The sequence below is a fragment of the Homo sapiens genome, chromosome 6, assembly GCF_000001405.40.
Source record: "Homo sapiens chromosome 6, GRCh38.p14 Primary Assembly".
Classification (NCBI taxonomy): domain Eukaryota; kingdom Metazoa; phylum Chordata; class Mammalia; order Primates; family Hominidae; genus Homo; species Homo sapiens.
The window spans coordinates 75176587-75200946 of record NC_000006.12 but is presented as its reverse complement, the minus strand read 5'-3'; the positions used below and the strand labels follow the sequence as shown (position 1 = coordinate 75200946).

Genomic DNA, 24360 nt, shown 5'->3' with positions numbered 1-24360 from the left:
TGCTTCTTAATCTGTGTCTTTTCTTGTATCCCATCTCCTTAAGTTAGTATTTAATAATTATATTTTAATAGGATTCATTTTTTGGCCTTATTCTCTAGTTTGGCATTGTCAAATAGAAATATGGTATGAGCCACAAATGTAAGCCACATATGTAACCTACATTTTTTTCTGGTAGCCATATTCAAAATGGAAAAAGAAACAGGATAAATTAAATTTTATAATGTATTTTATTTAACCTAAATTATTTCATCATGGAGCCAATATGAAAATTATTAGTGAGATACTTGACTTTTTTTGTACTAAGTCTTTGACAATTGGGTGTGTATTTTATACTTACAGTGCAATTTATTCTTTAAGTTATTTTTATTTTTCCTGAGACAGAGTCTCGCTCTGTTGCCCAGGCTGGAGTGTAGTGGCTTGATCTCGGCTCACTGCAGCCTCCGCCTCCTGGGTTCAAGTGATTCCCATGCCTTAACCTCCTGAGTAGCTGGTACTACAGGGGTTTGCCACCATGCCTGGCTAATTTTTGTATTTTTAGTAGAGACGGGGTTTCACCATGTTGGCCAGGCTGGTCTCGAACCCCTGGCCTCAATTGATTCACCTGCCTCGGCCTCCCAAAGTGCTGGGATTACAGGCAGCACAGTTTATTTCGTACTGGCCACATTTTAAGAGCTTGCTAGCCACAGATGTCTGGTTGCTTCCGTGTCGGACAGCACAGCTCTGCTGTTGACTACTAAGTGGTGCTAGGGGCCTTTGAAGGGCTAACAAAATTTGGGGCCAAAGCCTTTCTGGGGTCACTGGGCTGGAACCAGAATTTCTTTGAAATATTTCTGTTGGGGGCATTTCAAAATTTCAACTTGGGACTCCATTTGGTACCATGCCATTTTGATCTGAGTCCTAAAGTAGCCACAGTTACGTTTCTTTTCCTTTCATGACTCACACTTGCACTCTTATATTCATACTATTTTATTACCATTTTCTATGACCTTAATGTTTTATATATTAAAAACCCAATACCTTTTTGAAAACATTAAAATGTTTTGGTATTCACTTTTTGCCTTTCTTCTTTTTTATAGTGGTAATATTTTTGTCTTGTTTTTCTTCTGCTTATTTGTATTAGGAGCTATATTTTTCATACTATGTTATCTTGTCCTATAGAAATAAGAGTGGAAATGATTTTTTCACTTCAGTATCTATAATTTTTAGCCACTGCAGAGACTTTATCAACCGCATCACTGCATAGACTTTATCAACTGTATCTGAGTGGCCTAGAATGTATGAATTATTTTTGGTTCATGTATGATACAGTATGTTAATTATCCTGTAGAAAACTTAACACTTTGCATATAAAGATTAATGGTCAGTATTCCCTGAGAACTGGGCACTTTTCTAATTAATCTAGGATTAGAGATGAATACAAGTTTTCTGAAAAACAGAGTGTTAATTTTGGTTAGTCTGATTTATAGTTTATAATATATAATGAACAATTGAATATTATCAATTCATCGGTGAGTTGTGGCTATAGCTTTGTCTTGTGTCTAGGTTGAGACTAATTTGTATATATTTTTATAATCCTATGTCTAATTTGTGTTATAACAGAAATTTCAAACTAGAGGCTAACATAGAGATCATCTATTCTACTTCTCTCGTTTTCCAAATGAGAAAATGAGGCCCAGAGAGGCTGAATCACTTGGTCAACTAATGCACTTACTTAGATATGAAAAACAGACAAGACCCCAGTCTTCTAGTCCTAGGTTAGTGCTGGTTTGGTCACACTGTGCTTTGTTTGTGCTTGACAACTGGTTGATCCGGAAAGTTTAATGAGAGGGCATGTTTTGTAATGTGTACAAAATAATCTGTAGCTTATTCTAAAATATTATTTTTTCAACTGATTATTTATGGTACCTTGAAAACTCAAATGAAATGGATTTCTATATCATGGCAAAGATAATTAAAGTTATGCTAATTTTGCATGGCAAATGTAAATTAATGCCTATAGAATATAGTTAACTCATCACTTATTGCACACTTGTCAAGATTTCTCCTATTAAGGTAGTATCCTTTCCAGTGTTGTTATCACAGATATCAAACTAAAGATCTTAGTAGTTCATCAAGATATTTTAGTAGTGTATTCTTAGTTTTGATATATCTATAGCGCATTATGTATACTTACCAAAACTTATTAGACTCCTCTACTCCCTCTCATCCATTTTCCCACCTGTCTATCCATCCTTCCCTTCATTCATCTCTGCAGTGGCCGGTAATTTCTTGGACATAGCCCCTTTTTGGGTGCCCTATTAAAAATGTTTCAAAAAGTTATATATCAAGATGGACACTTTAGTTTTAAATGCTTGAACAAGTGTATAAAGTTAATATACCAAATTTCATCTATATCTGAATTGGAGATACCTGAATACCACATATTTATGTATATATGTATAATAATATGTAATATGTAATAACAATATTACATATGTAATACATATGTAATATGTATAATATATGCACATATAATTATACATGTATGTATATATAAATCAGCTACATATAAATATTGCTTATATTTACAAATATAGGTATATATTAAAAATACGTATATATTAAACCCATTTATGCCTAGTGTTCCACTATTGGAATGCTAAGCATGTGGGAGTGATTTATATCCTACTGCTCAAGGTCATTGCCAAGGTCTGATTACAAAAATTCAAAAAATTGCAACCTCAGGTATAAATGGGTTAAAAGTAACTACATATAAATATTGTTTTCTAAAGTTAATTTTTGATGGAAATATTTCTTCTACTTTGCATTTAATCTAGTACAGTAGAAAACTGTATGTTTTGTAGTCAGACCATGTAATCCAAGTGTTGTTGCCTATTGGCTGTGTTAATCTCTCTGAATTTCACTGATTTATCTGTAAAGCAGGGATAATAAGGCCCATCATTGGGTTCTTATAAGGAAAAAAGCAGCAACACAGTAACCAGCTCTCTGCCTGTTATAGAGAACACTCAGCAAGTTTCAGCTATTATTATCATTCCCAAAATGTCCTAAATCCTGCCAGTTTATGTAACAAAAATTTCATCAGAATGAGTCTTCGTAGCATAGCGTTTTGATAACAAAAAACATTATCTGTAAATATGAAATTAAACTATAAGAATAAAAATACTTAAAATTTTAGTCTCTTTACTGTCAGTATTCAGGTTTTTTGAATATATGTAAGATTGTTATTTATTTGTAATTTTCATTCTGTTTCTCTTGGTTTGGATTCTCATCCTATGCAACTATGGCTCTTTGCAGTTATAATCAATATGCAGCTAGTGCATAATTGAAAATTTCCGGGCTGGGCACAGTGGCTTATTCCTACAATCCCAGCACTGTGGGAGGCTGAGGAGGGCGGATCACCTGAGGTCAGGACTTCAAGAGCAGCCTGACCAACATGGAGAAACCCCGTCTCTACTAAAAATACAAAATTAGCCAGGCATGGTGGAGCACGCCTGTAATCCTTGCTACTCAGGAGGCTGAGGCAGGAGAATCGCTTGAACCTAGGAGGCTGAGGTTGCAGTGAGCCAAGTTCGTACCACTGCACTCCAGCCTGGGCAACAAGAGCGAAACTCCGTCTCAAAAAAAAAAAAAAAAGAAAAGAAAAGAAAATTTCCAGCATCAGCATTGTCTTAGGGAACACTTAGACTCTGTGATGATGTGATGGTGTTTATGAATTATTTTTATGTAAAAGAAAATATTTTTAAAATTAATAAAGTACATTTTTCAGCACTGATTTATGTTGACACGGGTCATACACTTACATCTGCTTTATTATTATTTTTTCATGAAACAAACAAATGTACAAATAGAATGGCATGCCTGAAAAGCTGTACATGCAATAAAATCGGCCAGAAGAAAAGTGAAGCGGGCTCTCTGTTGTACCCATGCGGGTTGGCCATTCTTTTCTACTTTGATTCTCACATATCACAGTTTCTATGAACACCTCAAGATCCTCTGAAATGTTAAAGACTTTTCCCCACAGTCAATTTTTCAGTTTATCTGGAATCCTGGTCATTTGGATATCAACAAGGGGGGCTGCTACTGCCCTTCAGCAGTTTTAACCTAATGTCCGCTGCTTCAGGTCATTTTCCTTCCAAGGTTGGTGGTACTGTTTTTCCATGTACTGATTTTTTTTAAAAGCATGCTCAGGCCAGTGTGTCTGCCTTTGCATTAAATTTGTCCTGAGCCATTGCTACTGGAACAATATTTTATAATGATATTCTTAATACCCGTTGTCCTATTAACATCTGTTGCATGCATGTTATACTGAGTGATGAGTACAGCTAAACCTCAAAATATGATTAAAGACTGAAGAATGTTGAGTAATTAAACTATGCATGTAGATTAATAGTCTAATCTCACTGCCTGTGTATGGATAGTAAGAATATAACATTCATTCCAATACTAGTGTATCCAATAAAAATAAAAAGCCATCTCCTACAGTTGGACGCAGCAGTCCACTAAAGCAAATGTTTGCTTAATTATTTCCATTAAAACATATTATTAATATTACATAAATCTTTAACCCCAGTTAAATTCTGTGACTCATGTCTCAAAGCTGCTAGTGTATTTTAATTGACCTTTGAAAAAACCTGAAAGGAAATTGTAATCTCTCAAAACAGATGCAAAAATTCTGACTCACAAGGAATACTTTCAGACTAAAACATTTTAAGAAGAGTGTGGCTGAAAGTCATCTTAATTTGTTGACCTGTTTCAAGAGTAATAATTTTTAATTCATCAACCATGCACTGACAGTGAGTCAGTACAATGCTGCATGATGAGGCATGAACATTGTAGAGAGAATATCATTATAAAATATTTAGGAAACGTCTTTGTGTAATGACTACTGTACATGGAGGCTTTTGTTCATTGTGGGAAACTAAAAACAAGTCAACATTTCATTGACACATGCATGATGCTCTACAGTTTTGTATGTAAACTATTTCTGTACTTTTCAGTTATTCCTGTCATTGACTTTTCCAAGTTTTTATGCGCAGTCATGTCTTCAGATCACTGATCCTTCTTCACTGTTTTCTTTAAGTTCTGTAAATAAATGTCCATAAATATACATTGATGTTGTCTTTTCATAATTAACCATTGTTTTGTAAAGGACCATACTGGCATTTTAATCTAAAATGCCCTTTCTAGTATGGAGTATACCTGCTGCAAAGGAAATAATAGTGTTGGTTTACACCCTGGAACATTCAGCAAGCTGGTGTAAACAGGCAGAATATTAGTTTAATAAACTTTTGAATATCGCTATTTATATATTTATAAATTAACATCACTTATTTTTGAATACTTGCCTATGAATATGAATATACATTTAAATGTATATTTCCTTGTCAGATATAACTTTCCCATGATTCCTTATTTTCATTAAAATATATTTTTCATCTCTGCTACATATTGAGATTTATCAAATAACAATGAATAATTACAAGGCAAATAATGCAGAGAATGAACCAAAACCATCATTGTTTCTTGTCCATATTGTGGGAAAAAACATATTATGTCAATGTTTTGAATTAACTTCTCTGGTTGTAAGCAGGTTGTGATTTGGCATGCTTGTTCAAAATGCACTCAGCATGTATCGAAATTCCTTTAATTGTTATGTGAATTGTTTGCATATGTGGTTATTATATGTGATTTCATTGTACTTGTATGTACTTGTATCCAAATATGTTTCTATTATGCTTGATTTTGCTGGCCATTCTTGAATGACCTAGCAACTCAAGAATCAAAAGTGTTTTGTGCTGTCTTCTGTAATATGTACACTCTCTGATGTTTTGTCAGCTTTTAGTTTTATTCTTATCCAACAACATATCTTTTATATTTGTTGGAAACAAATTTATGCAAAGACAATTTTAGAAAGCTTTGCTCAACACAATTCTTTATTAATTAAATTGACCATTTTGTGACATTGAAAAGTTTAATAATATAAACTCTCTCTTTTGCAGTTGACCCACCTTCAGACTTGAATTTTAAAATTATAGATGAAAATACTGTTCATATGTCATGGGCAAAACCAGTTGATCCAATTGTGGGTTACAGAATAACGGTGGACCCTACAACGGGTAAGTTTTGAGACTGGGGTTTTAGGACAGAAGCATCATGATGATATAACTCAATCTCCACCTCTTCTCCCCTTTCATCATGAAGAAGCTGTGCTTTAGGAAGCCTGAGGGATTTGATCCATGTCACCAGACATTTGCTGAACTCAGGTTTCAGATTTCCAGTCTAGTGTCCACTATTATATTTTAATGTTATTGAGTTTAACATGTTTTGCTGTGGTAGGTTGTTATTATTAAAAATTGACTCTATTTTTACCTGATCAGAATATTGTTAGTAACCTTTGATCTTATAGAATCAAATCCTCATTCTTTGGCATTCTTCTTGAATTACTTAATATTTTCAACATTTAAAGTATCAGCTGATGAAGTAAGTTGTTACACCTTACCCAGTGTCCTACACATTTCAGTATCCAGGAAACACCATTCTGTGATAATGGTAAACAACCATGATGACAGATAAGAATTTACTTTGGCTAGGTGGATTCCATCGACACTAGGCTGAATCCTTGGAAAACTAAACAAAACTTGTTTTGCTTGTTCTCAGGCATTATCTTTAGTGTTAATAATGTTGCCAAAATGTGGAGAACCAAACTCTATTGATTAATTTTTAGTTCTAAAATGGAATGAGAAAATAACCATTTCCACTGACTGTAAACTAGTTCAACCATTGTGGAAGACAGTGTGGCGATTCCTTAAGGATCTAGAACTAGAAATATCATTTGACCCAGCCATCCCATTTCTGGGTATATACCCAAAGGATTATAAATCATGCTGCTATAAAGACACATGCACACGTATGTTCATTGTGGCACTTATTCACAATAGCAAAGACTTGGAACCAACCCAAATGTCCATCGATGATAGACTGGATTAAGAAAATGTGGCACATATATGCCATGGAATACTATGCAGCCATAAAAAAGGATGAGTTCATGTCATTTATAGGGACATGGATGAAGCTGGAAACCATCATTCTTAGCAAACTGTTGCAAAGACAAAAAACCAAACACCGCATGTTCTCACTCATAGGTGGGAATTGAACAATGAGAACACTTGGACACAGGAAGGGGAACATCACACACTGGGGCCTGTCATGGGGTGTGGGGAGGGGGGAGGGATAGCATTAGGAGATATACCTAATGTAAAGAGTTAATGGGTGCAGCACACCAACATGGCACATGTATACATACGTAACAAACCTGCACGTTGTGCACACGTACTCTAGAACTTAAAGTATAATTTAAAAAATAGTAAAAAAAACAAAGAAAGAAAATAACTACTTCCACTAACATTGGCTAAATGGTAGGAAGAAGTCTTGACTGGCTGACAGTAGAGATGGAAGATGTCAACACAACTTATTACTAGAACTGTGTTTATTTATCTTTTAGCCTTTAAAAATACCAATGATTTTACATATTGATTTACCAGGAAACGTAGCTTTTTTTAAAAAGATGATTTAAAAACTTAAAAAGGGGTAAAAAATTTACTTTTTTCTCTTTCAATCTTTTCTCCCCAAATATATTTGCAGTTAACATATTCATTCCAAATCAGAAAATCAGTTCTAACAGGGTCCATCCAGTTTCTAGATGTTGGGAATAACTGACACCTAACACTTCCAAAACTGGCACTGGGGCTACCCAACCTGGCAGAGTCTGAGTGTCTTGATGTCCTCTGGGGATCTTGGTTGGTTTTGCATGTTCTACCTGCAAACCAAGAGCATTTTTCAGTGGTCTGTTGCACCTGTTATCTTTCCTAATTATTTATATTTTGATGAAAACAATATAATTAAAAATATCAGGCACGTAATTCCCAGGAACCACCAGGTTTCCTGATTGAATTGAGAATTAACAGAATCTAGAAGGGAGTACATAACTGCCAAAATATAAGTAAACACCTAGTATACTGGACCTTGAAATATTTGATACCTGCTTAAGTCAATGCAGAGGTCAATGTTACCCATTAAGGCATGTAGCCATTTGAGTATGGAATATGCACTGCTTCCACACAGATTTTTTCCCACTAGGGGTTGGTCTTAACCTATGGGGTTTGTTTTCTTTGAGTTTATTTTCATCTCTTATTTCTCTCTCTCTGCTCTCCTCCAATGCATAATTTAAAATTAAATTCATTTTCTCTGCTTTATCTCTCATTTATAAAACTGTTATCTACCATTAGTCTCCAAAACCAATGAAAGATTTTTAGTTCGATATTCTGGTATACCTTTAAACTAGAAATGTCTTGAATTCTCAAACAAGTATTAAATATGATTGTAACAAATAAAAGCAATACCAGTCCATTTATTAAATTTCTAAAATTCAAAATTTTAGTTTTGGAAGGCAGTAAAAAATAATGTTTGAGTGTCCTGAAAAAATGTATATACTGAATTTTTCAGATTTTGAGTACCTCTGGGAATTACAATGTATTGTGTTATATGTGAAAAATGTTTTGTTGCATTCATATTTTTCCTTTTTATATTTCCAGATGGGCCTACTAAAGAATTTACCCTTTCAGCTAGTACCACTGAAACTTTATTGTCAGAACTTGTACCTGAAACAGAGTATGTGGTGACAATAACTTCATATGATGAAGTAGAAGAAAGTGTACCAGTTATAGGACAACTAACAAGTAAGCACACATATAAAATAAAATATTTGTATAATTTTTATTTTGCAGAAGGTTTTTCCAACTTCAGATTTAATCTTTTATGATACAAAGTTAATTTACAGCAGTACTAACTATTTTTTTCTGGTATCCTAGTTATTAGTGGACATGAATAATTCATTCCTGATTTATAACTCTGGTCTCTGGAAACAGCAGGAATGTTATGAATGAAGACCATTAAAAATGTTAAACTTTGCTGGACAACAATGTGAATATCTTTTTGAAATATCTCAAAAATATCACTAAAATAACTTACTTGTAAGGGAATGATTATTTGGCAGTATTCTATGACCAGCTGGGCAGAGCCATACATTTAAGAGACAATAACAAAAACTAATATAATATATTTATTCTATTTTAAAGAGAATATCTGCTTGGGTTCATTTCCTTTTGTAATAATAAAGTTTTAACTTAGTTCAAACAGGTAGTTCGACAAAGCCAGTGGAGAAGAAACCTGGAAAAACCGAGATACAAAGTGAGTGTTTCTCTTACTATTTTTGCTTAGATTCATGGAAGTCATAAATGTAGGATAGAACAGATGTTCCAATTATATACATAGATTGATCTTATTCCTATATTAATTTATATAAGCTTTATCTGGAAGGAGCACAGACAATATAAGAATAATGTATAACTAAGTCATTATAACCTAAGTTCTGACATTCTAGCTAGTTTTTCATTCTATTTACTAGATATTCTTTTCAATGGGAGTGTTTTGAAATTGTGTGTGTCCAACCTTTCCTGCAGGATTTTGGCAATAGGTGAAAACAAAGCACATCTCAGGACTCAACTCATTTCTCAAAGACAAACTGATAGCAGTAGGTGGTACTTAGGAATATATGAGAAATACAGGGCTGGAACATGAGAGGGATGCCCTCAGCTAGTGTTCAAAGTAATACAATTGCCATGAAAATACTTTTCTAAGTCTGTGTGTATGTTATGCTCTTCTCTAGGTTATTTACATGGCCTTAGTTGATGGTAGTTGTAACCTTTTTGAGAGTCTCTGTAACACACCTCTTATAAATTGGTGCATTTGTAATCAGATGAAAGCAATTTTATTTAGTCTAGATCTTGCAGTTATTAGCCTCCTTTTGTCTTATATTGCTTTTCTGACTTATGGGGATAGATCCTTAAGGGGTTTCTTGGACTTCTAATTTTGTCATCTCGTAAAACTTGGATTTATGACCCAGAATGACAATAAAAAGATTATAAACACAAAGGTCTCTTTATCTGGAAGTATCCCCTCCAGATCACTGTTTATCATTATTTCAGATGCTAATATTTTCAACAATTATTATTTATTTTAAATTGAGGTATTATGCCAAGTATTGACTTTTTAATAGGCTTAAATTCACCTATTAAATAGTGTGCAAAACTTATTTAAGCATACAACTTGTATTTATTTGGCTTGCAAAATTTTTCAGCACCCTCTCCTTCTCTTCCTAGCCAAATACTTCTTTTATTACCTATCAGCTGACTGCAAGAACAAAATCATCATCAGAAAATTCACTTGGTATTGCATTACAAATACAGATTTTCATAAAACCAACCTGACCTCCACCATAGAGAGAAGGAAAGATAACATATTCAGTTACAAAAGCTGATCATTGTATTTTGATAATTTCAGGATACCACATGGATTTTTAACTTTTGAATAAAAATAATTGTTTACCCTCTTTGTTCACTAAAAGTAGGTTTTAATTGTCAAATTTAAATATATTGATAATTAGGACTATATATTTTGGCTATTTTGCATAATTTTATGCTTGTTTTTACTTCTATCAGGCTCCCTTAGCCCTCTAGACTAACCCTAATGCAAACTTTAGACAATTATATTGAAAAGTGCAAGAGTATATTAACAAATTAGGTCTTCAACTCAACTGCACTTCCTTGAATGGTACAGCAATTATTTTGTATTTATTTGTTGATAAATACCAAGGAATAAAAACCCTTTGCTTATATTTCTTTTGTATGACTCCTAAATGTTTTATAAAATTTGTACTTGTAAAGAAGAGTGAGGGTATAGTTTATAAAAATGGATAGGTTGATAGCACGAATACTTGGACTTTATGCTCCCGGAGAGCAGATTATAGATCTATTTATCTCTTTTTGTATAATGTCTTATAAAGCAATTTAAAGACATCTAGTTCCATGAATTCATCTTGATAAAGGCATTGAAAATGCTTCTATGTGTTGTTAGTAAAATTGTATATTTCTTTGTGCATGTGGGTGAAGAACAATTGGTGAATATGTTCTAATGAACAGAATGATTTAAGGAGCCAACATTTTTGCAATGTTAACATGTATTGATGAGTTGATTTAATAAAGCATCATTTAAAAAGATATCAAATGTATTTCAGAATGCTCTGTCAGTGCCTGGACTGATTTGGTTTTCCTCGTGGATGGCTCTTGGAGTGTGGGAAGAAATAATTTCAAGTACATTTTAGACTTCATTGCTGCTCTTGTGTCTGCTTTTGACATTGGGGAAGAGAAGACAAGAGTTGGAGTTGTTCAATACAGCTCTGATACCAGGACTGAATTTAACTTAAATCAGTACTACCAAAGGGATGAACTTCTTGCTGCAATAAAAAAAATTCCATATAAAGGTGGCAACACAATGACAGGTATGTTCTACAGATTTTTTTAAAGTTAAAAATAAATGAAATGTCTGTTTCAGAAAGAAATGATGCATTGCCTATTACATATTAAATATTTTTGACATTGTTCACATAGTTTTTGACTTTGGAAAAATTGTGTAGTACAGAGTAAATGAACATGTTTCTTTTCCCTTTAGGGGATGCCATTGATTATTTAGTTAAAAATACTTTCACGGAATCTGCTGGGGCAAGAGTTGGCTTTCCTAAAGTGGCAATTATTATTACGGATGGAAAATCCCAGGATGAAGTGGAAATTCCAGCAAGAGAGCTTCGTAATGTTGGAGTTGAAGTTTTCTCCTTGGGTAGGTTAAGTTCAGTTAATTATTTCCATTTTACAACTCCTACAGTATACTTAATGTTTAGGAAGATGAAAGATTGATTCCTCAAGGAAGGATGCTATTAGAAGTGTTTACTGCATTTTTATAGTGTAATATTAAAGACTTAAATTGTCTTTAAGTAAAAATTCTGCTTATCTATTTCCCTCATATAACTCCCTTAGCATATGTATTTAGGAAGGTGGTATTCACATTCTTTGCCAGCTCTCTACTTTTCAAAGAATGCTGGGCCAATGATTCTAATAAAGATCCTCCTTGTATTATCATTAAGTGTTTTTTATGTGTTTCCTATATTATGTAATACTTGAAGAATTCAGAGGGCTCCAGCTTATTGAGGACTCTGGAAGAAAAAAGTATTATCTTTACAGATGGCAAAGACATACGATGGTATGGTTGGGATGAAAGCCCACTCTGTTTAACCAACCACTTTTTTCCTCTTTGGCTGACCACTATATGTCAAATTACAAAATGTTTTTGTCATCTGCACAGTTGCATGTGCAACTGTTATGAAACAAAGCAATTCTGGCTTATGACTTAATGACGATTTGAATATGTCTTCAGTTGTGAAAGATGGAGAAAACGAAGAACTTCTCCAAGTCAGTTGGCACATTTCCCATTTCAATATGTCCTTATCCTTTTGTTTTGAAGGCATTAAAGCTGCAGATGCAAAAGAACTCAAACAAATTGCCTCCACACCTTCACTGAACCATGTTTTCAATGTGGCCAACTTTGATGCAATTGTGGATATTCAGAATGAGATCATCTCCCAGGTGTGCTCAGGTGTTGATGAACAACTTGGTGAATTGGTTAGTGGAGAAGAAGGTGAGTAGACTGTGTAGCATTCCCCATGTGTTAGTCTTTTCCATTGTTTGAGTATTTATAGTTATCTTAGAAGTAGACATATTTATTTAAATATTTCTTCCAGTGATTCTACAATTGTATACTCCACTGTATTGTTTTTTAGCAACTCAACTTGTTGATACCATTTGTATTGTTTTTCCTTCTAGTGGAACATTCAGTAAAATGTATCATTGCACAGTTCTTAAAATTTTTTTGGTGGGGGACAAGTTATGATTTACTCTTTTCTTTAAGACTCTTTTGTGTACATTGAATGTCTATCTGATTATGCTATTCTGCTACTTGCTTTAATTACCTTGCACTCTGATTTAAACATTGATGGGCTGGAAAGACATTTGCAACTTAAAATAATAACAATGTTTCTGCTAACTAGCTAAGGACAAGGGTTTTCTATCATTATACTCTGAGTAATGTTTTGAAAGCTTTTAAGAATATTTCAAAGATCAGTCAATGTGATCCTCCCCTTAGAAAATTCTCCCATTTCTATTAGTTATTACTTCTAAATACATGGGAGAAAGAAAAGACATTTCAAAAGCATCCTTTTGAACATTAAAAATAACAACCCAAAGCCTTTATATTTTTCCATCATTGTTCTCCTCTCAGCTTGAGAATCGATAAGTGATTAAACATAAATTCTAAATAGTGACATCTTCAATCATACAAACTCTTTAATCTTCAATCTCTGAACATTTTGTCAAAATGTTCATTGGCCCTAATTCTGTCTCAGAACCTCTCATTACTTCATGGGCTCTCAATCTATCCTTTGTTTTACTGTCTACTGTCTAACCTTTTTGCTTTGTATTATTATAAAATCCATCTCACTCACCTCCACTTTTCTCTGATTACTTCTCTTCACTCAGTCTTTTAAACAGTTTAATTCTTCCTGGGGTGCAGTTGCATGTATGCAAGGGTAGGCCAGACTTTTTTTCTGCCACTGTTGGAACTTTCCCTGTGTAGGGGGCTGGGGCTACATCACAGGTGTTCACATTTCTCTTTAGTGTCTTCTCTCTTCTGCTGGACTAATCTAAGGCTTCTCTCTTCTGCTGGACTAGCCTGTACTGCCTCTGTATCCCTCAGGTTTGGCCAGATTTCCATGTGGCATCTCTGTGGCTTCCCTCCTACTATTTTCTACTTAAACATCATTTTAAATATATATATATATATATATTTATTTATTTTTAAAATTATTTTCATTTTTTAAAACTTTTAAGTTCAGGGGTACATGTACAGGTTTGTTACATAGATAAACTTGTTTCATGGGGGCTTGTTGTACAGATCATTTCATCACCCAGGTAGTAAGCCTAGTACCCATTAGTTATTTTTCCTGATCCTCTCCCTCCTCCTACCTTCAACCCTCCAATAGGCCCCAGTGTGTGTGTCGTTTCCCTCTATGTCTCCATATGTTCTCATCATTTAGCCCCCACTTATAAGCAAGAACATGTGGTATTTGGTTTTCTGTTCCTGTGTTAGTTTGCTAAGGATAATGGCCTCTAGCTCTATCATTGTCCCTGCAAAGGACATGATCTTGTTCTTTTTCATGGCTGTATAGTATTCCATGGTATATATGTACCACATTTTCCTTATCCAGTCTATCATTGATAGGGTTTTAGGTTAATTCCAAGTGTTTGATATTGTGAATAGTGCTGTAGTGAATATACGTGTGCATTTATCTTTATAATAGGATGATTTATATTCCTTGGGTATATACCCAGTAATGGGATTGCTGGGTTAAATGGTGTTTCTGTTCTTAGTTCTTTGAGGAATTGCTGCACTGTCTTTCACAATGGTTGAACTAATTTACACTCCCAGCAACAGTATATAAGCATTCCTTTTTCTCCACTACCTCACCAGCATTTGTTATTTTTTGACTTTTTAATAATAGCCATTCTGACTGGTGTGAGATGGTGTCTCATTGTGGTTTTGATTTGTGTTTCTCTAATAATCAGTAATGTTGAACTTTTTTTTGTATGATTGTTGACCACATGGATGTCTTCTTTTGAAAAGTGTCTGTTTATGTCCTTTGCCCACTTTTAAATGGGGTTGTGTGTTGTTTTCTTGTAAATTTGTTTATGTTCCTTATAGATGCTGGATATTAGACCTTTGTTGGATGCATAGTTTGCAAAAATTTTCTCCCATTTTGTATGTTGTCTGTTTACTCTGTTGGTAGTTTCTTTTGCCATGCAGAAACTCTTTAATTTAATTAGATCCCATTTGTCAATTTTTGTTTTTGTTGCAATTGCTTTTGGCATCTTTGTCATGAAATCTTTGCCAGGGCCTATGTCCTGAATGGTATTGCCTAGGTTGTTTTCCAGGATTCTTACAGTTTTGGGTCTTACATTTAAGTCTGTAATCCATCTTGAGTTAATTTTTGTCTGTGGTCTAAGGAAGGAGTCCAGATTCAGTCTTTTGCGTATGGCTAGCCAGTTATCTGAGCACCATTTATTGAATAGGGGGTCCTTTCCCCAGTGCTTGTTTTTGTCAGGTTTGTTGAAGATCAGATGGTTGTAGGTGTTCAGTCTCACTTCTGGATTCTCTATTCTGTAACATTGGTCTAGGTGTCTGTTTCTGTACCAGTACTATGCTGTTTTGGTTACCACAGCCCTGTAGCATAATTTGAAGTCAGATAGCCTGCACCTCCAGCATTGTTCTTTCTGCTTAGGATTGCCTTGGATATTCGGATTCTTTTTTGTTCCATATGAAATTTAAAATAGGTGTTTCTAGTTCTGTGAAGAATCTCAATGGTAGTTTAATAGGAGTAGTGGCCAATCTATAGATTGCTTTTGGCAGTATGGCCATTTTAATGATATTGATTCTTTCTATCTATGAGCATGAAATGTTTTTCCATTGTCATCTCTGATTTCTTTGAGCAGTGGTTTGTAGTTCTCCTTGTAGAGATCTTTCACCTAACTAGTTAGCTGTATTCCTAGGTATTTTATTCTATTATTCACAACTCCCATTGTGAATGGGATTTCGTTCCTGATTTAGCTCTCAGCTTGACTGTTGTTGTGTATAGGAATGCTGGCAATTTTTGCACATTGATTTTATATCCTGAGACTTTGCTAAAGTTGTTTATCAGCTTAAGAAGCTTTTGGGCTGAGACATTGCAGTTTTCTAGAGGGATTATGTCATCTGCAAACAGGGATAGTTTGACTTCCTTTCTTCATATTTGGATGCTTTTTATTCCTTTTTCTTGCTTGATTGCTCTGGCCAGAACTTCCAATACTATGTTGAATAGGAGTGGTGAGAGAGGGCAACCTCATCTTGTGCTGGTTTTCAAGTGAAATGCTTCCAGCTTTTGCCTATTCAGTATAAACATCACTTTTATGTCCTACATCTGGTTGCTTTTTTGAGGAGGCGATGTGTAAATTTGGGCCTGTTTTTACACACACTTCCTGCAGGTTGATTTGTGAAAAATTATAACTATATCTTCCGGGAAGTTGATTCCATTGACAAATCCAGAATTTTGATATTGTCTGAAATATCTTAAAATACTTTACGTTAACTGTCAAATACATGACTATGTTCTATGTTGAGTAAGGATCACCATTTTTTAGAGGACTGATATGCATGCGTTAATATGCATGTTATAAGCCATTGTTTCCCCTCTGTTTGGTGGCACTGTGAACATAGTTGAACTTTTTTTCTTACCCTGAAACTAGTGAAAATAAAATTGTTTAAAATTATAAGAACCTGTCATTTAAGAAGTACTAAATGCTTTCTCTTTCTTGGCATATTATAAAGTATCTTTTAAAGATTACACTTTTATGATGTTATTAAGAGAGAAAAATTCCCTAAAGAATTGAATGAAGCATTGATTTAACAAATATTTATCAAGTGCCTACTTTGGTGCTTGAGAATGAAGACAATGAGTGAATACCAAAACCAGAATGGAAATCTTGGTTTCAGAGAAGAATTAGGCATGAAGTGTCCCAACATTAATTTCTTCCAAATACTTTCTTATTCCATTAACTTCTCAGCAATTTGACTAAAAGCCAAGTGTTGAACCACTTTTGGTTTGATAGGGACATGTGAAATTGGGGACTGAGGCGGGTATTGGGCAACTCTTTTCAATGTATTTAGGATGAATTTGAATAAGGAGATTTGAAGGTCCAAACCTAAAGACCAAATTAGTAAGGTTACATCTCACTGTTATTAATCACTGTCTGCTTGTAACTTTTTAGTTGTTGAGCCTCCTTCAAATTTGATTGCCATGGAAGTCTCTTCAAAATATGTTAAGCTAAATTGGAATCCATCTCCTAGTCCAGTGACTGGCTACAAAGTCATCCTCACACCAATGACTGCAGGAAGCCGACAGCACGCTCTGAGTGTGGGGCCTCAGACAACCACGCTCAGTGTTCGCGACCTCTCAGCAGACACAGAATACCAGATCAGTGTTTCCGCCATGAAGGGAATGACATCCAGTGAACCCATTTCAATAATGGAGAAGACTCAGCCAATGAAAGTTCAAGTGGGTAAGTCAATGTGTGCATCATTGTATTTGGAATATGTGAAGATCTGTTTGACAGAATGCCTTACTTGTTTGGACTTAGTTTTGAATGAAATATTTGCAATAGTTTTTTTTTTAAAGAAGCACGCTTACTAAGAAAGCTAGATATGTATATTTTAATGATTAATATGTATTGAAGTTTAATGTACTTTTTTTCTCTTTACAGAATGCTCACGTGGTGTGGATATAAAAGCCGATATTGTGTTTTTGGTTGATGGCTCCTATAGCATTGGGATTGCAAACTTTGTTAAAGTTAGAGCCTTTTTGGAAGTTCTTGTAAAAAGTTTTGAAATTTCACCAAATAGGGTCCAGATTAGTCTTGTGCAATACAGCCGGGATCCTCATACTGAGTTCACTTTGAAAAAATTCACCAAAGTTGAAGATATAATTGAAGCAATAAACACCTTCCCTTACAGAGGAGGATCTACAAATACTGGCAAAGCAATGACTTATGTCAGAGAGAAAATATTTGTGCCTAGCAAGGGATCAAGAAGCAATGTGCCAAAGGTCATGATTCTTATCACGGATGGGAAATCATCAGATGCTTTCAGAGATCCTGCGATAAAACTGAGGAATTCAGATGTTGAAATCTTTGCAGTTGGTGTGAAGGATGCCGTTCGCTCAGAATTGGAAGCTATTGCCTCTCCTCCTGCAGAGACCCATGTGTTCACAGTGGAAGATTTTGATGCTTTTCAGAGGATATCTTTTGAACTCACACAGTCTATCTGCCTTAGAATTGAGCAAGAATTGGCAGCTATAAAGAAGAAAGGTTAGTAGACTTTGAGAGTAAAAGTTATTTCTTCATGAACAAAGAATTTTTGGTTCTAAAATTGTGGATAATATGCTTGTTCAATTCTTCTTATAGACACGAAAAAGTAACTTTCCTATGTTATTGAAAACTATTGAACTTAGTTTTCTTAGCTCTGAGATATGACTTTCTCCTGGATATGGATCATATTTTAGTTGGTGAAAAAGCTGTTTAGTTACAAGAGTCATGAGATGTTTCTGTTCCTAGATTGTCAAGCAGGTTTAGGAACAAGTTTTATCATATGTATGTGTCATTTACAATCCAAATCCCATGTATGGGGTGTTCACTATGTGCTGGATACTGAGCTGGGTCCTTCAACTCAAAGGTGAAGAGAATATAGTCTTGCACCTTTGGATTCTTTTTATGCATTTCCTTTCCTGAATCATTTTGGGCATCATTTGTCACATCTGGAATTTTCCTCATTTGTCTGATCTACTTTTCAATGTGTAGTTAAAAGTCCCATCCCTTGAGTTTGTGTCCTTTTCAGGGACATGGATGAAGCTGGAAACCATCATTCTCAGCAAACTAACACAAGAACAGAAAACCAAACACTGCATGTTCTCACTCATATGTGGGAGTTGAATAATGAGAACACATGGACACAGGGGTGGCGGCATCACACACCGGGACCTATAGGAAGGTGGGGGGGCTGGGGGAGGGATGGCATTAGGAAAAATACCTAATGTAGATGACGAGTTGATGGATGCAGCAAACCACCATGGCACATGTACACCTATGTAACAAAACTGCACGTTCTGCACATGTACCCCAGAACTCAAAGTATTATAATAATAAAAAGTCCCATCCTTTTCATTAAGCCTTCCTAAACTGTAACTGTCCTAGCACTATCATGCTATCACTTTCACTCAGTTGGCTTTCCTATGTACTGTTTTTTTTTCTTTTTTTTTTTTTTTTGAGACAGGGTCTCACTCTGTCACCCAGGCTGGAGTGCAGTGGTGCAATCTATGCTCACTGCAATATCTGCCTCCCCAGTTCAAGCAATTCTCGCACCCCAGCCTACCCAGTAGCTGGAACTACAGGAGTGTGCCACCACGCCTGGCTAATTTTTCTGTTTTTTTTTTTGGTAGAGACGGGGTTTCCCCATGTTGGCTAGTCTGGTCTTGAACTCCTGACCTCAGGTGATCCACCTGCCTCAGTCTCCCAAAGTGCTGAGATCATAGGCGTTAGCCCCCATACCCTTCCTGCCTTTTTTTTTTGGTTGTTAATAATGTTGCATTCTCTCGTTTCTCTATTTTGACTGTGTGCCCCCTAAGGATTTACTGTATGTGTTAAACATTGTCTCTTTCTATGATTTAGTTTAATAACTGCTAAGTTTAATACATATTTTGTTGTTGGGAAAAATTCCTTAATTTTTACTTTGAAATATTTGTCTGCAAACCACCAAAGGTTAATATCCAAGTACCAGGGATGAATGGGAAAATGTAGATGGTTCATTTTAGGTCTGCTATGGTTTAAATATTCCAATTATGGGCAAGGCCATTCTATTACGACTGCTTTAAGAATCTCAAAATTCACATTCAAATTTAATCAGTCATTTAAATAATAGAAGTTAGTATTATAGATAGTCAAGGTGAATAATCAAGATCTCTTGTTGGGTTGTAAGTTGTGGGGGGCTTTCTCTCAATGGTCAAATGTAGATGAGATACCCAGTACAGTAGTCTCAATGAGCACCATTCTCCCAAATTAATGTAAGCCATTTTATAAACATTGAAATATTGGTTACTGTTTTGTTTTATAGATTCAAGCATTTTTAACTGTCTTTTTTTTTTTTTAAATAGCTTACGTCCCTCCAAAGGATCTTAGTTTTTCAGAAGTGACTTCTTATGGTTTCAAAACCAACTGGTCTCCAGCTGGAGAAAATGTTTTTTCATATCACATCACCTACAAGGAAGCGGCTGGGGATGATGAGGTCACTGTGGTGGAGCCAGCATCGAGCACCAGTGTTGTTCTCAGCAGCCTGAAGCCAGAGACCTTGTATTTGGTCAATGTGACTGCGGAGTATGAGGATGGCTTCAGCATTCCCTTAGCTGGAGAGGAGACCACCGAAGAAGGTGTGATGGGGTTTCTGCCACTGTTATTCAGAAAATGAATAATTTATTGCACTACAAAGTTACAGTTTGTAATAACCATCTGCTTTATAGTTCAGAATTGCCAATGCCTTTGTAAGATTTGGCATCTTTAAAAGACAGCTTTTCATAAATCTTTTTAAAAAGAGAAAAATAACTTTTAAGTAAAAAACCTTAGACTTCTTTTGATGAATTTGAAGTTAGGAGACCTAGAGAACTGTTGATAATTATGGAATTAACTTTTGAAATACTGTTTATCCATCTTTTTTGGTCCCAAATTTCAGGAATGTCATGTCTTAAATCTTTCTGAAATTGTTTACTGTACTTACAGAGTTACGGCAAATATATATATGTATATATAGGTAATAAGTATATTATAAATTATTTATTTTCTTTTTAAAAAGTTGTGGTAAAATATACATATTTACCATTGTAACCATTTTTTGAGTGCACATTTTAGTGGCATTAAGTACATTCACCTTGTTGTGCTACTATCACCACCATCCGTCTTTAGAACTAGCAAAACTGAAATTCTGTACCCATTAAGCAATAACTCCCCATTCCCTCCTTCCCTCTACTCCTGGAAACCACCATTCTATTTTCTGTCTCTAGGAATTTGATTACTCTAACTACCTCACTTGAGAGGAATCTTTCAGTACTTGTCTTGTTGTGCCTGGATTATTTCACTTAGTAAATGTCCTCAAGGTTGATCCATGTCGTAGCGTGTGTCAGAATGCTCTCTCTACTTATGGTTGAATAATATTCCACTGTATGTATACACCACATATCTTTTAAGATGGGGTTCTTATTATGTTATCCAGGTTGGCCTCAAAATCCTAGGCTCAAATGATTCTTTTGCCTCAGCTTCCTGAGTAGCTGGGACTACAGGTGTGTGGCATAGCGCCCTGCTTCACATTTTGTGTATCTCCATTCATCAATGGACATTTGGGCTGCACCCACCTTTTGTGAATATTGCTGCTATGAACATGGTGTGCACATTTTGCCAAATGTTTTAAGCAGTATTTGTTTACATGTGTACTCCTTACTGGATAGAATTGAATATATTTGGACACACTTTGTTATGTTTGACATTTAAGGCACCAATTTAAGTTGGTTAGTGGAAGACTAAGGCAAGGCAATTATTCTTTAACATAAGCATAGCAAAGTATCACAATAGATGTCAATTGTTCTTTCCTCTTTTGACTGGGAATAGGAGGTAAAGACCATGAAAGAATAGTGTGAGGAATTTAAGATAGTTATAAGGAAGTATTTGCTGACAGGGATGGTGCACATTGGCATACTATACTGATAAAAGCTAGAGAATCTTTTTTCTGTGAAACATTTTTCAGATAAGATTGCTATTTTTCCTTTTTTTTTTTTTGCATGGTTTAGGTATATTTCTTCCTGAAGTCCATCACATAAACTAAATGGTCTAAGAAGTCCTTTCATCTTATGACTTGTGGTCATATAAGGGAGAAGGCTGTACTCAGATATTTCTGAGTTTCTGATGCTTTTCCTGTAATGCCCACACTGCTGCTCGATGACCCTGACCCTTTCTTTTCAGCATTTTGGGAGGGGAATGGGAAATCTGTCTCAAGAGAGGACTTGTCTCAGGGTTTTTGAGTAGAAGTCACTCCATTCATACACACTCTAGTTTTTGGTCATTGGTCTACTACAATGGAGTTTGGTAAAGTCTTTTCAGTTATATTGTCTGTAATGGAATCTGGGATTTAAATTTGCTTTAGTTGATAAGAAAGTTTCCAATGTAATACTTTCATTAAGCTAACAATTACAGAGCTCCTGCTATGTGTCAGGGGCTCTGCTAAATGTTTTCCATAGATTATCTCATTTAACCACTTAAATAATCCTATAAATAGTCATGTTTTGCTGCTAGGGTAATCTGTGGCTCAGAATTACATATCTGTTAAGCTTCAGAGCTAGGATTCCAACCCATCAGTCTATCTGCTGATTTGTTCTGACTCGTTTAATCTTTTTCCTTCCAATACAAAATGAATCATGGGTGTAAGTTGGCCAACTACCATTTCTTTCTTTCCTGGAGAGATATACTTCCTTCCTTTCTCTTCTAGAGAGATATACTTCCTTCCTTTCTTTCTCCCTGGAGTGATCTATTGATGTGTTGAATATTTAAATAAACTTCTAAATGTCTGTGTGTTATTTGCCAGGCGTGTTGTGCTAGGCTTTCACCCCAGTGGACTGAGAAGACAAAGACCTTTAGTTCATCTTTCCTGAATATGTTGTCTGTATAGGCAGTTGGCCCCATTGAGCAAGAAGGTCATTTAAACATGTTTACTAAACACAAAACCAAATGATGTTCTCATTTGGGCATAATGAAAAATGCATTTAAAATTATGAGTCTGTGGGTGTTACCCATAGTGCATCTTAGCTTCAAGATGTAGATCTAATGAGCATTCATTAAGTACCTATTCTGTGCTTGTTCCATCCTGTGTATGGTTGAATTATTCTCCAAGTCAAATGACCATACAGATAAAAAGTTAGTGTGGGACGGACTGGATAAGACGGTTTGGTTGGGTGGGTTGATATGGTAGAGCTGGGTGTTAGGTGTTATTTTCCTAGTTTCGTGAGAAAATGTAGTAAGAGTGAAAGTCTTGGCTGCTTATATTCAAAGAAATGACTTGTTTTTATTCTTGAAGTTTATAGCAGTATAAATTTAGCATTTGATAGAATATTTATTATTTTAAAAGTTTACTATTATATACATCTTTATGTAATTAAAAAATTAACAGTACTTAGTTTCTTTCTGGATATTATAGAATTCATATTTGCTGTTTCAGAATTTAGTTAATCTCTGGCTAAATGAGTACAGAAACCAGGATGTTTGCAAATAAATTGCTCATGGATTTCTTTAGAGAAATGGTATAATTTAGTAATAAAAAGGTAATTTTTGTATTTTTCATATAAAGTCAGTCAATTTATGGTTTAAAATCTATTTTTCCTTTTTTATTTCAGTAAAAGGAGCACCTCGAAACCTAAAGGTGACAGATGAGACTACAGATAGTTTCAAAATTACTTGGACTCAAGCTCCAGGGAGAGTTTTAAGATATCGAATTATATATAGACCAGTTGCTGGTGGAGAGAGCAGAGAAGTTACCACCCCACCCAATCAGAGGAGGAGAACACTGGAGAACTTGATTCCAGACACGAAATATGAAGTATCTGTAATTCCTGAATATTTCTCAGGACCTGGTACTCCATTAACTGGAAATGCAGCCACTGAAGAAGGTAGAGGAAATATGCTTATCATATGGTGACAACCAAACTCTTAGACTAGAGGGGAAAATTGGGACAACTATCCAGATAAAAAACTAATGAGACACTTTGTTTCAATTGTTTGAGTATGTTAGACCATAGTCCTTTTAGATTTAAGTTAAAATTTTTTTTTTACTTAATCATGACATTATTTACTTGTGTCAATAGATTTATTTGTTTAATTAATTATTTAATTAATTTTTTTCAGACAGAGTCTCTCTCTGTTGCCCAAGCTGGAGTGCAGTGGCTCGGCTCACTGCACCCTCTGCCTCCTGGGTTCAAGTGATTCTCCTGATTCAGCCTCCCAAATAGCTGGGATTACAGGCGCGTGCAACTACACCCAGCTAATTTTTGTATTTTTAGTAGAAAGAGGGTTTCACCATGTTGGCCAGGCTGGTCTGAGACTCCTGACCTCAGGTGATCTGGCCGACATGGCCTCCCAAAGTGCTGGGATTATAGACGTGAGCCACCACGCCCGGCCTTGTGTCAATAGAATTTAAATGCTAGGATATAGTCTCAATATTCTTTTAAAAATAATATTATTAAATGTTTTAGTGTGAATTGAAGGATGACTAAGAATTAAAAATCAAACTGCTATGCACCATTGAAATAAATTGTATTTTACTTCTTAAGAAAGATTTTTAAACATTAACTTGTTTTCTTTAAATGGGATGATTAGGATCCCAGTATACATTCTGATGTTTGTTGAAATTATTAATGTTTAATACGTGATTTCATTGGGGGAAAAGTGAGGCATTCATAATTTTTCATTTTATTTCCTAGCTGTAATGTTTTTAAAATAGCAGTAATAATGCCAAGGACACATTAGCAATAATGAAAAGTTACTGAGTACCTGTCTGGTGTCAGGTTCTGTACAAAGAGCTTTTCATATATTTTGTTTAATCTCTGCATAGACTTTATGTTATTATTATCATCATCTCAGCTTGATAAGAGAATTGAGGCTGAGGAAATTAAATAATAAATCAAGACCACACAGCTAATAAATGGTGAATCTGAGTTTGTGGATTTTACTGTCCTACTGCAGACAT

At 35.0% G+C, this 24360-nt stretch overlaps 1 protein-coding gene across 10 annotated transcripts in view; it reads left to right on the top strand.

Annotated features, from left to right (window-relative positions):
- The window catches only part of COL12A1 (collagen type XII alpha 1 chain), a 121728-nt gene that overhangs the window by 5107 nt on the left and 92261 nt on the right, over positions 1 to 24360 (top strand). For 6 of the 10 annotated variants that reach the window (XM_011535435.2, NM_001424115.1, NM_001424114.1 and 3 more), the window contains exons 3-12: positions 6000 to 6116; positions 8592 to 8735; positions 9187 to 9246; positions 11132 to 11395; positions 11566 to 11730; positions 12412 to 12585; positions 16803 to 17093; positions 17295 to 17897; positions 19736 to 20008; positions 23012 to 23284. The exons of 3 other annotated variants lie outside the window; for them this stretch is intronic. In XM_011535435.2, coding sequence (XP_011533737.1) covers positions 6000 to 6116; positions 8592 to 8735; positions 9187 to 9246; positions 11132 to 11395; positions 11566 to 11730; positions 12412 to 12585; positions 16803 to 17093; positions 17295 to 17897; positions 19736 to 20008; positions 23012 to 23284 — 2364 coding nt within the window. Of the gene's footprint in view, positions 1 to 1122; positions 1755 to 5999; positions 6117 to 8591; positions 8736 to 9186; positions 9247 to 11131; positions 11396 to 11565; positions 11731 to 12411; positions 12586 to 16802; positions 17094 to 17294; positions 17898 to 19735; positions 20009 to 23011; positions 23285 to 24360 lie in introns of those variants that run through there. One more of the 10 variants, XM_017010252.3, reaches the window with a different exon arrangement.